The sequence below is a fragment of the Homo sapiens genome, chromosome 15 (genome assembly GCF_000001405.40).
Source record: "Homo sapiens chromosome 15, GRCh38.p14 Primary Assembly".
Taxonomy (NCBI): domain Eukaryota; kingdom Metazoa; phylum Chordata; class Mammalia; order Primates; family Hominidae; genus Homo; species Homo sapiens.
The window spans coordinates 73109690-73126127 of NC_000015.10; the positions used below are offsets into that span (position 1 = coordinate 73109690).

Sequence of the window (16438 nt, forward strand, 5' to 3'; positions counted from 1 at the left end):
TGAACAAGAATTTTAGATCTAGCTTTGATTAGACATTGACATCCAGTGTTTTTATGGTATAGTTGTATGCCGTGAAGTTTTAAAAGCATATATGTTTATCAGACAATTAAAATGATCTGTATAATATTAACAATTAATTGCATGTTTTCCCCAGGAGAGGGGTTCTGTAAAGTTGAAATATAGGGAAGATGATGTGTCTGAGGTAGATCAGTCTTTGGAGAAATCAGCTGTGCAGGGCAGAGAGAGACTGAACTCTGGAACCAGGAGCACTAACTGTTACGTAGCAAAGCAGGGTGGAAAATGTTTGTTAACGCTTAAGTGTTGCCTGCTCTTAGTTAATAACATGAATGTTGTTGAGATCTTTGAATGTTAAATTATTTTAATTTTCTAATTTTCTAAGGTAGTTGAGAATTTGAAGCAAGATAGTCTGAACCGCATAGTGATAGTGGACACTAAAGAATCAAGATGGATGAAATGTAGGATTTGGAGACTGACGAGAAGGGATGGGATGGTTGAAAGAAACATTAACAAGTAGTAAAAAAAGAAAAATAGGAAGTCCTTTGACAGTAGTGTCTTAGCTTATGATAATAAAGTGATACTTTTCTTACAATGAACATTATACAGAATGCTTGCATTTGTAGGTATATAAAAATGCTACTTATCCTTCTGCCCTGAGTTTCTGCTACTACTAAACTTTGAACCTCTTTTGGCAATAAGACAGGTTTCATTTTACTTCTGCAAGTATTCAGATACCATATGTTAATGTTTTACTCTGGGTACAATAAAGTTTAGAATTATTACTGGTCACACACAATTAAGACATGCACCGAGGGATATGATTTGTTGATGTTGTTGGGAGTTACAACAGAAAGGAGTTCCCTGTGGATATTTTCTTTCTGTAAGATGGAATTCTATCAAGAAGTGTGAAGTATTCTATCAGAATGTGAGGAATAGTCTATCAAGAAGTGAGAGCTATTCCATTAAGACGTGAGAAATTTGAAGAGACTTGGGAATGTAGAAGATATTAGATAGGATCATTAAACCTATTTCAAAATGGAATCCAGTGACTCTGGCCATACTAAACCAAAATTAAGCAAATATAATTGGCTGGGAGTCAGGTCCCTGGGGAGAAGTATAAGCCAGTTTTTATACAAAGTCAGCTAAGGAGTGAGTGTTTGATAACCCTTTTATTGTAACAAAAAGTGGGTAAAGAAAATGATGATAGATCTTTTAGAAAATAATCTCCTGTTCCAAGCAAAGGATTGTTCTCCACCACCACCAACAAAATTTTTGTTACTGAAAAAAAAGATAAGAAGAATGTGTATGCAATTGTTCATATATATACATATATAAAAGTAGCAAACAGAAATACACGGAGTAAAAAGTGTTCTCCCTGTACGCTCTCTGCTCTCTTTTGGCAGCTCAAACCCACTACTCTCCCCAGGGAGAAAACAATGTTAACTGTTCAGTGTTTGTTATTCTAGTCTTTTCCCTTTGTATTTGCATTTAAATATGGGCACACAAGCATCTGTACATGTGTACATATTTTAATATCAGAAGAGTCATACTCGACATATTTTGAACGTACATTTTTTATTATTTATGTATCTTGACAATCTTTTAATCTCAGCATACAAATGTACCCCAGACTTTTCATAATGTTCCTCTCCTGTGCAGACGATATGTGTGTATGAATTTATGAATGAAGATGGCTATATTTCTGCTTAAGTAATACTATTTTTATGTAAAATATTTAGACAATACCAAAGGTGAAAGAAAAAATTAAAAATCAACTGAAATCCTTGAGATAATCCTTATTTTGGCGACCATTTAAAAAATGTTTTTCTTTAGCTATTTACACGAGTGTGAACATACATCACACCTGCCACATATAAAGGTATAATATTTATTTATTTATTTATTTAGAGACAAGGTTTTCTTTGGTCATCCAGACTAGGTCTCCCTCAGTCACCCAGACTGGAGTGTAGTGGTGTAATCTTGGCTCACTGCATCCTCTTCCTCCCGTGCTCCAGTGATCCTCCCACCTCAGCCTCCCAAGTAGCTGGGACTACTGGTACAGGTCACCACTCCTGGCTAATTTTTGTCTTGTTTTGTTTTGTTTTTTGGTAGAGATGGGGTTTAGACATGTTGTCCAGACTGGTCTTGAACTCCTGGGCTCAAGCAATCCGCCTGCCTTGGCTCCCCAAAGTGCTGGGATTACAAGGGTGAGCCACAGCACCCAGCCAATGTAGTATTTATAAGTGGATTATACATACAAGATGATTTTTGTCATGGAACTATTTTATCTGCTTGGGGATTTTTATCTTTCCTCTACTCCCTTTCTCCTATCTTTCCTCTCCCAGTAACCAGTAGTAACAACCTGGTGTACATTTTTCCTACCTTTCTCAATGCCCATATAATCATATACATATGAAATTATATAATTTACACTCATCTTCATTATTCATTTTTCACAGAACTGATTCTACATCAACTGAAATGTAGCCCACTCATTTTTTTTTTGCTGGATAATATTCTAAGGCAAGGATCAGCAAACTGCAATAAACGGATCAAATCCATCCAGCCACCTATTTGTATAAATAAAGTTTTGTTGGAACATAGCTTCACCCATTTTTGTATTGAGCAGTTTAACCTTTTAAATTCTTTACCTGTTATATGTGACACAATTTTCCCCCCAATCCATTGTCTTTTGCTTTGTTATGGTATTTTGCCATAAAAAATTTTTTTTTAATGCAATAAAGTAAAACATGCCTCTTCTTTTCTAGCTTTTAGTTTCCTATTTTGATTTAAAAGGCTGCCTAACTCCAGGATTATCCTTGTATTTTCCTAAAATTTCTTCTAAGGTTTTTATCACTTGCATTTTTTATAGGCCTGGAATACATTTTTATGTCTATATTGAGTGGCATTGTAGTATAACGTAGTATAAGATCACAGATAATGAACAAATAGCTAACAATAATGTAGTATAAGATCACAGACCCTGGTTCTGTGATTTACTACCTGTTCGACCTTTGACAAGGTCCTTAACATTTATATGTTGTTTTCCTCTCTAAAATGGGGCTGATTCTTGTACCTGTTTTGTAAGATGATAGTGAAGCTTAAATGAGTGGTTATTATGTAGAAAATATTTCGAACATTATCTGGTACATAGAAACATGTGCTTTTACTGTTATTACATGGTGTGAGTAGGCATCTCATTTTTTTCCCATATGGATAACCAGTTGTCCTAGTAACATTTATTGAGTAGTTAGTTCATCCTTTTCCTCAATCGATTTAAAATGTCATCTCTACTACATGTTAAGTTTCCAAATATATATAGCTCTGTTTGGGGGCTTTATAGCCTGTTATGTGTCTTTATCCTCTGCTCCAGAGCCACAGTGGCTTAGTTACTATAGCTTTATACATACTTGTAACTAACAAGTGGAGTCCCTTTACTTTGTTTTGCAGAATTACTTTGGCTCTTACTGGCTTTTTTTTTTTGCTCTTCCATATAGTTTTGTAAACACTCATCAGAATTTACAAAAACTGTTTGTTATTAAGTCTTAGTGTGGAAAGGAGTGATACTAAGTGGCCATTATTAGAATGGAACCTGCAGTCTCTTATTAATACTTTAACCATTGGAAGTTTTTAGAAGTTATCTGGTTATGTAATCTAAAGATTAGTGCCATCCACCATGCTAGGTGGGTACTGGGAATATAGCAAATGAAAACTGTACAAAGATAGATCATAAGCCTGCATTTCCCAAACTATACCCTGAGATACCCAAAGGAACCTCAGAGAACTCCCAGGGTCATTTCAAACTTCTAGGGAAACATGGCCACATCTGTTGGACATTATGCGAACTTCTAGCTCAAGGTAGTTCACAGTTTCAACAGCTGATTGTGCCATCTTCATTTTGTACCTGTGATATCTTTGTGAAGTTGAGCTTTTAGTGGTTACTGTTTTAAAAAGCAAGTACTATGCAAAAATCAGTGTGGAACAGGAAATGTGGGTGGCAGTATTTAGTTGCACAGCATCTAAGTTTTAGAAGTTGTGCAGGGCCCTGTAGGTGAAAACATCCCATAGTAACTAATTGTGGTTATTTTAAAATGAAATATATATATATATTTTTCAGTTTGCATGTATTATTTTTTCAAAAAGGTGTTAATTTGTTGGGACATAGATACTCATTTTGTTTGAACCTAACTGTTAAAAGAAATAGGATGGTTAGCTATCTCTTTTGACCTATGGAATTCTTGAAAGAAATTATAGAGAAAATAAGGGTACCAGGAGCCAAGCAAGTTTGGGAACCTCTCTACTTTAACTTAAAGTTATTACAAATATTCAAAGATTAAGAACATTTGGAGTGCTCTGTAGGTAGCGCATACACCATGCTTGCTTAGAACAGGCAAAACTAACATTGCCTGGGCACCTGGGACAGACAGCATTTCTGAGCAAATGATATTTAAGCTGAGCTTGAAGGAAGACTGAGAACTGACTGAAAAGGAGTGGTGGTGGGAATAGCTTGTGTGAAGAGGCGGGAGCGGTGGGGAACTGACTGGGAGAGCAATGCAGGGGAGCTGGAAATAGGCAGAAGCTAGATCAGGTGGTGACTGACGTGGCAGTCGACTAAAGGAGTTTCTTCAGGTTTCTTTGTAAAAGGCAACGGCAAGCCTTTGAGGGGTTTTAAGTGAAGAGAGGATATCTTAGGTCACTGCCCTCCTACTGAGAGAACAAAATACAAAACGATATACAGAAATATTTAAGTAACTTTTTGTAAAAATTTTGAAGTGCCTTGATTTTGAAAGGCATTTGTAAGCTTTCCTTTGAGTGTAATTCACTCTTACTTTTTCAAACACATATACTTTTTTTCGTTGTTCAACCTGGCTCAATTTTAAAAATGAAATAAAAAGCAAGACAGTGTTAAACTGCGAAACATTTAAATTGTAATTTTGGGGGTATTTTTTCAAATGGCAAAAATTGTGTTGTAATTTTGAAATAGAATGTATTTTATTATCAGTAATACAATATTTCAGATTTTTAATTTGTGTATTTTAACCACCAATCTAACACATTTATCTTTTAAGTTTCTGAGTTAAGTTTGGGGGGTATAATAGAGATTTAATAGTTACATAGTAAAGATATAAAGGTAATTTCTCTTAGTTTAGCTATCTTTTTATACTTTTTATTTATGTGTTTATTCTACTATGATTCCAGTAAACTAATGCAACATAAACATTTTGATAGTAATAAGAAACTAATTGCAGGTTACTTTTTAAAAATTTCTAAGCTTATTTTCAGGAATTTTAAGACTTGAAAAATAAATTTCATGGTCATTAAATGGGCATAGAGACCTGAAACACTTTTTTTTTTTGAGACGGAGTCTGGCTCTTGCCAGGCTATAGTGCAATGGTGTAATCTCGGCTCACTGCAACCTCCACCTCCCAGGTTCAAGTGATTTTCCCGCCTCAGCCTCCCAACTAGCTGGGACTACAGGCATGTGCCACCATGCCTGGCTAATTTTTGTATTTTTAGTAGAGATGGGGTTTCACCATGTTGGCCAGGCTGGTCTCGAACTGCTGACCTCATGATCCACCCACCTTGGCCTCCCAAAGTGCTGGGATTACAGGCGTGAGCCACCGTGCCCAGCCACCTCTTTTCTAATACCTGCTTGTGGTGTTTGGGAAAGTGTAATTAGTCTGATTAGAATTAGAATTTGTTTATCATTGAAGTATTGGAAAACTTTTAAAACAATTGAATGTTATTTCTTTTCCTCTGCCAGTGTGTTTTATATTTCTTTAGAGGTGTTTGTTCATTATATAATATAGAATTTATGTCATCCTTAAATTCATAATGCAAATAAATTATAAAGAAGTGTGTAGATATATTCGAAAAACAGTCTTAGTTTCATTTGCTGGATTGGGTTTCTCTGATTTTTCACATGAAGAAAGCTGATGACAACTTGAGTTGTTTACAAGGGAATTGGTCAGAAGTTTTCTTGAAGAAAAGTGATAAAGCTTTAAGTTGGAAAGCTTTCCAACAGGCTGAGAGTATAAGGTTTATAACAAATATTTTTCTTTAAATTTTGTTCTTCCCATGTTCAAAGAACTGACAGGGACTTAGAGAAAGTAAGCTAATTCCTTCCGTGCTCTTTACACTAAAATGAATTCTAGATGAAGATTAAATGTAGAAAATCACAAGAGTAATAGAACAAAGCAAGGCTGAAATTTTTTATGATCTTGGGATAAAAAAGACCTAAGTATAACTATGTTTAGTTTTATGTAGCTTAAAATTTATTCTTATAACAAATATTATAAAGTCAAATGGAAAAAAGAATATTTGTAAAATATGATAGCAGATTGCTTTTTAAGTCAGTCGGATGAATAAATTCTCTAGAAAATGGACAAAGTGTGTGTATAGTAAATTTATGAAAAAAATACAAATAACTGATAAACATAAAAAGATACCTCTTAAGAATCATTTTAATTTTCTGCCTCTTTTATGTTCAACAGAGAATTTCACTTTGAATGCAGTAACTTAAAGTATTTATAAATCTGATTCTAGGGTTTGAAATAAAACTTTTATTAGATACTCATGTCATTTAACAAGGCTTGTTTATCTCAGGTAGAAGGTTTTTTTTTCCCCTAATGTTCTTCTAAATGGCTCAAAGTTTGGTTTCCTACTTGAAAGTAAATCTTATTTATTAGACATTTGTAGTGAGATGACTATATTTATGTGTCACATTCAAAGAACAACAGTTAATAATTTTTGGACTTGTTAGTAATATATTTTCTGACAAATAATAGAAGAGAGATTTGCTTAACTTTGTTCTTTTTCTTTATTTTTGTAGGAGCCAGCATTCGAACGTTCACTCCATTTTATTTTCTGGTGGAGCCGGTGGATACACTCTCAGTTAGAGGCTCTTCTGTTATATTAAACTGTTCAGCATATTCTGAGCCTTCTCCAAAAATTGAATGGAAAAAAGATGGAACTTTTTTAAACTTAGTATCAGATGATCGACGCCAGCTTCTCCCGGATGGATCTTTATTTATCAGCAATGTGGTGCATTCCAAACACAATAAACCTGATGAAGGTTATTATCAGTGTGTGGCCACTGTTGAGAGTCTTGGAACTATTATCAGTAGAACAGCGAAGCTCATAGTAGCAGGTAAGTTTTAAGTGATTTTTTTTTTTGCATTTTCAAATATTTATAACATACATCTTGATAAAAGCACTGTTCTCTTGGAGTTTTCTTTTAATTAGTAGCAACAAATATACTCATTTAACAGATATCAATTGTGCATATACTCTGCGTATGGGACCTTGCTGTAGGGCTTGCTCAGTGCCGTAGAGAATAAACTGTAGCGTGTTTCCACTTGTCTGATGGCTTAATATTGCTATCAGAAGTACTGAGCAGTTCTTTTCTCCTTTTAAACTTGGAAGTGGCAGAGGAAGTGGTATAGGAAAATTAAATCACTTTGACGGCCAACTTCTATCTTACCCAGCATAACCATTTAGTATGGTTTTGTAAAACTTGCAGTAAAGTCAGAATCCTGGTTCCTTGATGCCTTAACCAAGGAAATGACATTCAATTGGATTAATTGTTTTAAAATCTACAGAGTGTATATTAAGGTGGAGAGCAGAAAGTTATAAAGAGAGGAACTTTCCCTCCTTTTCAGAGTATCCTTATTTGAAGAATGATGGAAAGTGTAAGAAAAATTAGGGATCTTGAAGAGTAAGATGTGGTTTCTAAGTAAGTCATGTCTGTTTTGTAGTAGATACTAGCGTTCCTGAGATAGTGTTTCTTTACTTGAGTACCAGATGAAATAGTTTTTGTGAAGGGTCATGTTATACAAAAATGTTATCTTTAAGTCCTGTATTTACTCTCACCTTGGTGAAACGCCCACGTGTGAGACAGAACCTCAGAGACAGTAGTCTCCCATCTCATTCCTACTCCAGGATTATGGTTTCCCATCTCATGCTCACTCCAGAGTATATTTGCTTATACATTCAGAGCATAATGGCTGGTTTTTTTCCTCTTTGGGGACAAATACTCAAAGTTGAATTTGGGTGTGACAAAGTTTCTGTAATTATTCCATAATCATAGATTGAGGATGGAAAAATAAAAGAAGAAAAAAATGGGTCCTTTTGCCAATTTCCCTTTTCTTTCCTTCCTTCTCTCCCTCCTTCCCTTCTACCCTCCCTTCCTTGCTTCCTTCTTTCCTCTTTTTATTTTTCTTCCTTTTCTTTTCTTTCTTCTCTCTCCCTTAAAAAATAATCTATTTGCCAGGCTTTCTCCAACATGTTTCATAAATAAATTAGTATAATGACTGCCTCTACAACGTCACTTAGGTCAGTGTCTGTTTATAATTTAAGTTCTTAAATATCTCTTATCTGGGCTTTATTCATGGGCTCCTTCCTCTCGGCTGTCCCCCCATATACTATCATCAAATCCAGTGAATTCTGCTTAGTAATTTCTCTGTACTTAATCCACTTTCTCCTTCCCGAGGCTACTCCCAGTCTTCCCTCACCACAGCCTTATAAGCATCTGCCTGCTACCTTATTCTTCCCCTCCTCCAGTCCAGTCTCCACCCTGTCTAGAGTACTCTTTCTCACCCTTCAGTGATCCTCCAGTAACACCATCAAGGTAACATCTAACTCTTAAATAACAGGCCTGTTGATTCCTTTTATGAGCTGTCCTCCACTTCTCCAACCTTATTTCTTAACATTTCACCCTGCCTCTGTCCCCACCCCCGTCCCCTACATCCACCATCACCCTCACCACAGTTTTAAGCACTGGCAGTACTGTTTTGTTTCCTTTCATTTATTCTCTGCCTTCCAGCCTTTGCTCATGGCATCCCCACTGCCTGTTAATTTTATCCTCCACCTTTTCCTCACTTTCTTCTCCTCTGCTAAGTTTGTCCATTCTTCCTCTTTGATACCTTCAGGAAGCATTTTTTTGACCCAGTATCTAAGCAAGCAGCACCGTAGAAGGTGATACATTCTGTGATGACTGCATACAGGGTTCTGTAGGAAAGTTATTTAAACCACTCTTGGCCCTAGGTATCAGGAGTAAATAGTGCCCAAGCTAAGGGATTAAATAAAAGTTCTTTTAAATAGTTGCATGGTATACATTGTCTAGATATACATACTGTGATTTATTTAAAGATTTCTTTATTGATGAACAATTAAATGGATTAAAATTGTTGGATGTTATAGGCAATACTATAGTGAACTGCCTTCTGCAAATCTTTATTTCTGTAAAACAGATTACTGGAATTGGGATTGCTGGATCATAGGATACACTGTGTGTGTGTGTGTGTGCGCGCAATTAAAAGGTACTAGTTTGTCAGTTCCTCAAAATGTTAACCATAGTGTTACCATATGACCTAGCAGTTCCACTTGTAGGTGTCCTGGGGTAGTTATGGGTTATGCAGAGTGACTGCAAGTGAGTACAAGATTTCTTCCCGGAATGATGAAAAGGTTCTGAAATTAGATTATGGTGATGATTACACAACTTTGTTCATATACTAAAAAATATTAAATTATGTACTTTAGATAGTGAACTTTATGGTATATAAATTACATCTCAATAAAACCTAAAAAAATTCTGCCAAATTGCCAATCTAAAAGACTTAGAGTTTTTTGGTTGCAAGCAGTAGAAACTGATTGTAGCCAAGTCAAGCAAGAAGGGAAGTTTTTGAAAGAACATTAAATAGGTAACTCATAGAATTAAGTATGAGAGGTCTTTTTCTCTGAGCTGTCTCATTTCTCCACAACCAAAATTTCTGTTTTTCTGCCTGGGCAGTATGCTGGCTGTGAGTATTTTGTGCCCAGAGGTGGGGTAATAGGGTGTTCTAAATACAGACATTGTTAATATCTTCTTGTCAACTCCGGGTCTTAACTCCCACTCTCCTTTTTCTCCTGCAGTTCTCCAGAGGCAGCAGGACAACCGGCTTCCTTCTTGGGAGCGCAGGAAGCTGCAGCGTTCCCTGCCTTGTTATGTCAGTTACTAGTCCTCCATCTGCTTTCCCTACTCAGAAATTTTTTGAAATCTCTTGTCTGCCAATTCTCCATATGTTTTTGTGAGCTTACATTTTAAAAATTATTAATTTTCATGAGACCTCAGGAGGAAGAATTTTTTGACTCTTTAAAAATACAACTGAGCTGGGCGCAGTGGCTTACGCCTATAATCCCAGCACTATAGGAGGCCAAGACGGGCGGATCACCTGAGGTCAGGAGTTTGAGACCAGCCTGACCAACATGGTGAAACCCCATCTCTACTAAAAATACAAAAATTAGCCAGTATGGTGGTGCCCGCCTGTAATCCCAGCTACTTGGGAGGCTGAGGCAGGAGAATTGTTTGAACCCTGGAGGCAGATGTTGCAGTGAGCCAAGATTGTGCCACTGCACTCCAGCATGGGTGACAGAGTGAGACTCTGTCTCATAAAAAAAATTAATTAATTAATTTAATTTAATTTAATTTAATTAAAATAGAACCATATTTTGGTTTTATTGATTAAGATTTCCTCCTTTCCCCAACTTGATCAAATTCTGTGTTTATCTTTGTTAATTCTTATCTTCTGATATTCTGGTTTCTTAAAAGTAGATTTTTGGTCAAATCTGGGGAGCTCAAGGTAAAAAAGCAGATTTTTTAGATAATTTTATCTTTATTTTTTTCCTTCAAAAATCCCCTTGAAATAAAAAAAAAATAAGAAAAAGAAAAAGTTTATTGCAGGGCTGTAAAACCTGTGTGATTTATGTTTGGACTAATTCACCATCATAAAACTAGAAAACCTGTAATCATTTCTCATGATTTGTTTGCTCTTCCTTAAAGAAACATATTGTTTTATTCTGAGCATAGCAATCACTTTTTAGATATTATAATAGCTAGTTAAGTGTTTATGCAATATACTATATATAAATTATTTATTTTAAGTACTTTTTTTTTTTTTAACAATCCTGTGAGGCCTGTTATTCTCATTTTACTTGTGAAGAAACTGAGTCTTAGGGAGTGGTTAAATAACTTGCCAACTTCAGACACCCATGAAGTGGTGGTGTTGGGATTCAGATTCAGATATGTGACTTGAAAACTGATGCTCTTAGCTGCTACATCCTGTGGCGTCTATATTTATGACGACATTTTTGGTTCACATTTTATTTTGAGATCATTTTAAACGTAGGGAGTAGGTGCAAGAATAGAACCAAGAAATCTCATATACCTTCACCTAGATTACCTGATTGTTAACATCTTATCGTATCTGCCTTAACCCCCCAAAAATGCATACATCCAAAGACATATTTTTTCGGAGCCAGTAAGAGTAAATTGCAGACAGGTTTTCCTGTAACTGCCACCTAAATACCTACGTGTATATTTCTTTGAAACAAGGACATTCTCCTAGATAACCACAGATGTCCATCAAAATTAGGAAATTAACCTTAATACAATACTACTGTTTAATTTAGATTTCACTGATTATCTCAATAATGTTCTTTATAGTAAAAACCAAAAGCAGAGTACCCGCCTGTCCTCCTCCCACACATACTCTTATTTCTGGCCCAAGATTACATATTTCACTTGGTGGCTGTGTCCTTTAAAACTCTTTAGATATAACTTGGTTTTTCCTTGCCTCATTTTGAGTTTGTTTGATTTCTCCCTGAATAGATTCAGATTCCTCATTTTTGGGAGAAATACCACAGAAGTAATGCTGTGTTCTCAGTGCATCATGCCAAGAAGCATGTGATATTTTGTTCTGTTGCTGGTGATGTTAACTTTTACTACTTAAGATGGTCTGTGCAGTGTTTCTCCATTGTAAAGCTTGGTACTTTTGTTAGTTAATAATGAGTATTTTGGGAAGAGATACTTTGATACTCTGTAAATATACTGTTCCTCATGACATTTTTGTTTACTAGTTTTGGTGTCCATTGAGGATTCATACGTGAATCAGTTATTACTATCAAATGGTGATTTTTCTAGTTCCATCATTTCTATAAGGCAAAGCTTTTCCTTTTCTTCCACTTATTTGTTTATATTTGCATGAACCGACAGATTCTTGTCTTATTCAGTGGGTTATAATGCATGTTAATACCATTATCCCAGATTTAATCAGAGGAAGCTCCCTTCAGTCTGACTTCTGTGCCCTTTTGATATGTCCACATTGTTCTTTGGACAGTTTTCTTACTTTACGTCGTAAGATGTACCAGGTTCATCTTGTGCTTTCTCTCCTTCTGCACTCTTAGAATTGGCCATTTCTCCAAGAAATTATTTAGAAAAGGTAGAGACACCATATGTACCATTGCTACTGAAGTAATATGGATGCTGCACCTTCTCTGTGGACAGGGCTAGGAAATATATAGGGGTGTGTGTGTGTGTGTATATATATATATATATATATATATATATATACACATTATATATATTATATATATGTATAGCAATGAATAAAGACTAGACAAAATGTGTACATGTTTCACACATACTTTTATATTTATATAGATATCATATATATTTTTATATCTATGATTATATAAAACCATGATGTTTACACTGATACCTCCATTCTAGACCAGTACCATAGGACTTATTCTACCCATCTCCTTTTCAATGTTTATACCTTGCTTCTCTAACTGTGAGGAATCTGATTCCAGTTATCCTTAATGCATTTACTTATTTGCCCAGTATCCCTGTATTTAGCTAATTTCCATGGACTTTCTTCTCAACCCTGGTTCTGCCATATGTTGTAGCCATGTGAGCTGACTTGCTCCTGGCTCCCAAGACAAAATTTTAAAGTAATATTTAAATAAATTTTATTTCTTCTCTTCCTTTATTGTCCAGGTCTTCCAAGATTTACCAGCCAACCAGAACCTTCCTCAGTTTATGCTGGGAACAATGCAATTCTGAATTGTGAAGTTAATGCAGATTTGGTCCCATTTGTGAGGTGGGAACAGAACAGACAACCCCTTCTTCTGGATGATAGAGTTATCAAACTTCCAAGTGGAATGCTGGTTATCAGCAATGCAACTGAAGGAGATGGCGGGCTTTATCGCTGCGTAGTGGAAAGTGGTGGGCCACCAAAGTATAGTGATGAAGTTGAATTGAAGGTTCTTCCAGGTATTAACTCATTATCAGGACTGATGGTTTTATGTTTATGAATGGGTAAACATTGTTCTGTTAGAATTTTTAAAAATAATGAATGTTGGCCGGGCGCAGTGGCTCACACCTGTAATCCCAGCACTTTGGGAGGTTGAAGCGGGTGGATCACCTGAGTTCCAGCCTGGCCAACATGGCGAAACCCCATCTCTACTAAAAATACAAAAATTAGCCAGACATGGTGGCAGGCGCTTATAACTCCAGCTACTCTGGAGGCTGAGGAAGGAGAATTACTTGAACCCGGGAGGTGGAGGGTGCAGTGAGCTGAGATTGTGCCATTGCACTCCAGCCTGGGCGATAGAGCAAGACTCCATCTCAAAAAAAAAAAAAAGAGGAATGTTAATATGCGGTATGACATTTTACTGTCAGCATAGGAAGTCTCAGTTTCTTACAGAAGTGAAAAGAAGAAAATGTGCCAGAAGATCCACTCTTTAGGGAATGCATTATTAAAAATTTATCAAGCAATAAAGTATATTCACTGTCTAATGGTATTCTTCTTGGTCAAAAAAATATTAGTGCTGTGTCTTTTGTCAAGCCTTCTCTCCAACAATAGGATATTTTTATTGTTAGGTCTTTTCACTTGTGCAAATCAGAGACCCATCCAGGCTAGTTCGTATAAGGGATGGGTTGGGTGGTAAGTGTTAACATGGTGGCTCTAGAGACAATGGCAGGCAAGAGTCCTTGGATCTTTATACTCCCCATTTTAGTGTAAATTCAGCTCCTATTTCAGTCTTTCTTCTTTTTGTGTGTCTTCTCAGTTCCTGCCCCTTCTGGTGTTCCTCATAATCAATTTTGTATATCTTTTCTCACTGTATAACTTCTGCTTACTCATAACTTCCTCCCAGTTGTAGCTCATCATAGCCCCTCTAGCCTTTTGGTGTTTCATGACTGTTTACCTTCTGTTCTCACTGCTAGGTGCCCCCTCCATATTTCTCATCTCAAATTTGAGTTTCTGAATATAATTGAACTATCCCTACATTATTTGGGAAGAGTTATATGTCTATTAAATAGGCTCATTTTTAATCTATGGACTGGTTCGCAAAGCAGGACTGTGAGCTACAACTCTTGAGGGTGTTCCTAATAGCCCTTCAACTCATAAATGTAGGTTCTTTTTTTGTCGTTATCCCTCGTCATTCCTGTCTCAGTATATTCTCAGCAAGGACAGTATCTTTTAAAGTGTGCGTTTGTGCGTGTGTGTGTGTGAGCGCCTGTGCACGCATATGCATATGTGTATGTGTCTTGAGACACGGTCTTGCTCTGTAACCCGGGCTAGAGTGCAGTGGTGCGATCTTGGTTCGCTGCAGCCTTGATCTCCTGGGCTCAAGTGTTCCTCCTACCTCAGCCTACGAGTAGCTGGGACAAACGGTACACACCACCACATCTGGCTAATTTTTTTGTATTTTTTTTAGAGATGGATTTTGCCATATTGCCCAAGTTGGCCTTGAACTCCTGGGCTCAAGTGATTCTCCTACCTTGGCCTCCCAAAGTGCTGGGCTTATAGGTATGGGCCACAGTGGCCAGCGTGAGATGTATATTATTAGATCTTGTCACACCTTTGCTCAAAACTCCCTAATGGTTTTCCATGTCATTCAGAGTTAAAGTTCTGGGCTGTAAAGATTTATAATCTTAATACCACTTCCTTCCTTTCTCTCCCCTATCCCATCTCCTACTCTTTTCTCCCTCACTCGAAGATTGTGATCACTTTATGTTTCTAGAACAATCCAGATATGCTCTTGGCCATTTTCTCTTTCTGGAATCCTCTTTCCTCAGATACCTGCCTGGGTCACTGTCTTACCTCTCTGCTCAAATATCGCTTTATCAGTGAAGCCTTCCTTGAACACTCTGTTTAAAACAACAATCTTTGATTTCCACCCCCAGTGTTTTCTCCTTCTACCTTCATTTTACTTCAGAACATATTACCATCTGACATGTTCTATCTTACTTGTCTCTCTCCCTCATTAGTATGTAAGCTCAACCAGAGCAGGGAATTTTTGTCTGCTGCCAAAAACACTTTCTGGCACATAGAAGCCAGTAATATTGGCTATGAATTTGTTTAATTGATTCTATCAAAATTCAATTAAATATACCTAAGTAATTCAAGTTGAATTAAAAAAAAGAACTATTGCCATATACCAATATTATTCAGTCTGCTTGCTCACTTGCTTTTACATGACAGAGGTAATACTTCTCAACACCTAGGGTAGCATTTAAGCAAATCCTCAAAATCTGAATCCAAGAAAACAAGATTTGTAGTGTCAAAAGGTGAGATCACTACTCAACATCTGAAACGAAAACATAATGTGGAATGTTTTGCTTACTTAAGTAAGGGAGAGTTGTGCTTGTCAAACATAGTTTTCTTGAGCAAAGCTAAGTCCTTATCTCCTATAGAGTTTTTCAGAAGACATTGTTTTGGGTTGTACTGGTTAAGAGACAGAGGTGGATTAATGTCAGTCATAGAAATATGTTTTGTGGTTGATTACGGAGGTGGGAGCAAGTTAATGTCAGCCTTAAAAGTCAGTGACTCCACCATTAGTTGGCTGACTTTTAAAGCCTGGGCTTATCACTGATTGGCTTTCAAAGCCACATTCACCCTTGTGAGTTGTCACTAATCGATTAGGCAATGTTTCCTTGTTACCATGGCTACAAGACTGTCATTAATTGGTTAGACAAGTTTAAAGCTAGTCCTGGAGGTTGTTATCATGGCTGTAGAACATCTTTTCCAAAGCATATGGGCACAAGAGTCACATCTCTTCTGCCTGAGACCTTTTTGTCAAAACTCAATATTAAGTTAATATTACCTTATTGAGGAGAGAACTCTGTCTTCTGCCCACAAGAGTGTGGCCTTTTCATGTATTCACAAGAGGACAACTCTATAAAGTGAACACACATTAATTCTAATGTCTGAATAAGAAATACAAAAATATAGTGGTAGCTAGATTGTTGCTCAGTTACAAAATCAAGGGACTGACAGACTGAGCAAGTTAAAGAGACGAAACTCAGAAAGCTTTTCAGAAATAACACACAGATACAGGGAAGGAAAGGAAACCTCTTATCCCTGTGAGTAAGGAGAATGCCATGGGTCCTGAGCTTGCTCAGTCTCCACTGTTTGTACACATGGCTTTTATCTTATCTTTCAATGTGAATGGGATTCATGTCAAATATCTCTCGATTGATTGACAAGTACGTACCCTGAAGGCAGGAGCAATAAGTTATACATCCTTAAGACCCCTAAAGAGCCTAGCACAATGCTTTGCACATAGAATTTATTTGAGAAGTGTTTGCTAATTT

At 36.5% G+C, this 16438-nt stretch overlaps 1 protein-coding gene across 29 annotated transcripts in view; it reads left to right on the forward strand.

The window, feature by feature from the left end:
* Positions 1 to 16438, forward strand: part of NEO1 (neogenin 1) — a 253515-nt gene that overhangs the window by 57998 nt on the left and 179079 nt on the right. For all 29 annotated transcript variants that reach the window (XM_047432591.1, XM_011521628.3, XM_011521633.4 and 26 more), the window contains 2 exons: positions 6851 to 7168; positions 12836 to 13111. In XM_047432591.1, the coding sequence (XP_047288547.1) occupies positions 6851 to 7168; positions 12836 to 13111 (594 nt within the window). The remainder of the gene's footprint in view (positions 1 to 6850; positions 7169 to 12835; positions 13112 to 16438) is intronic.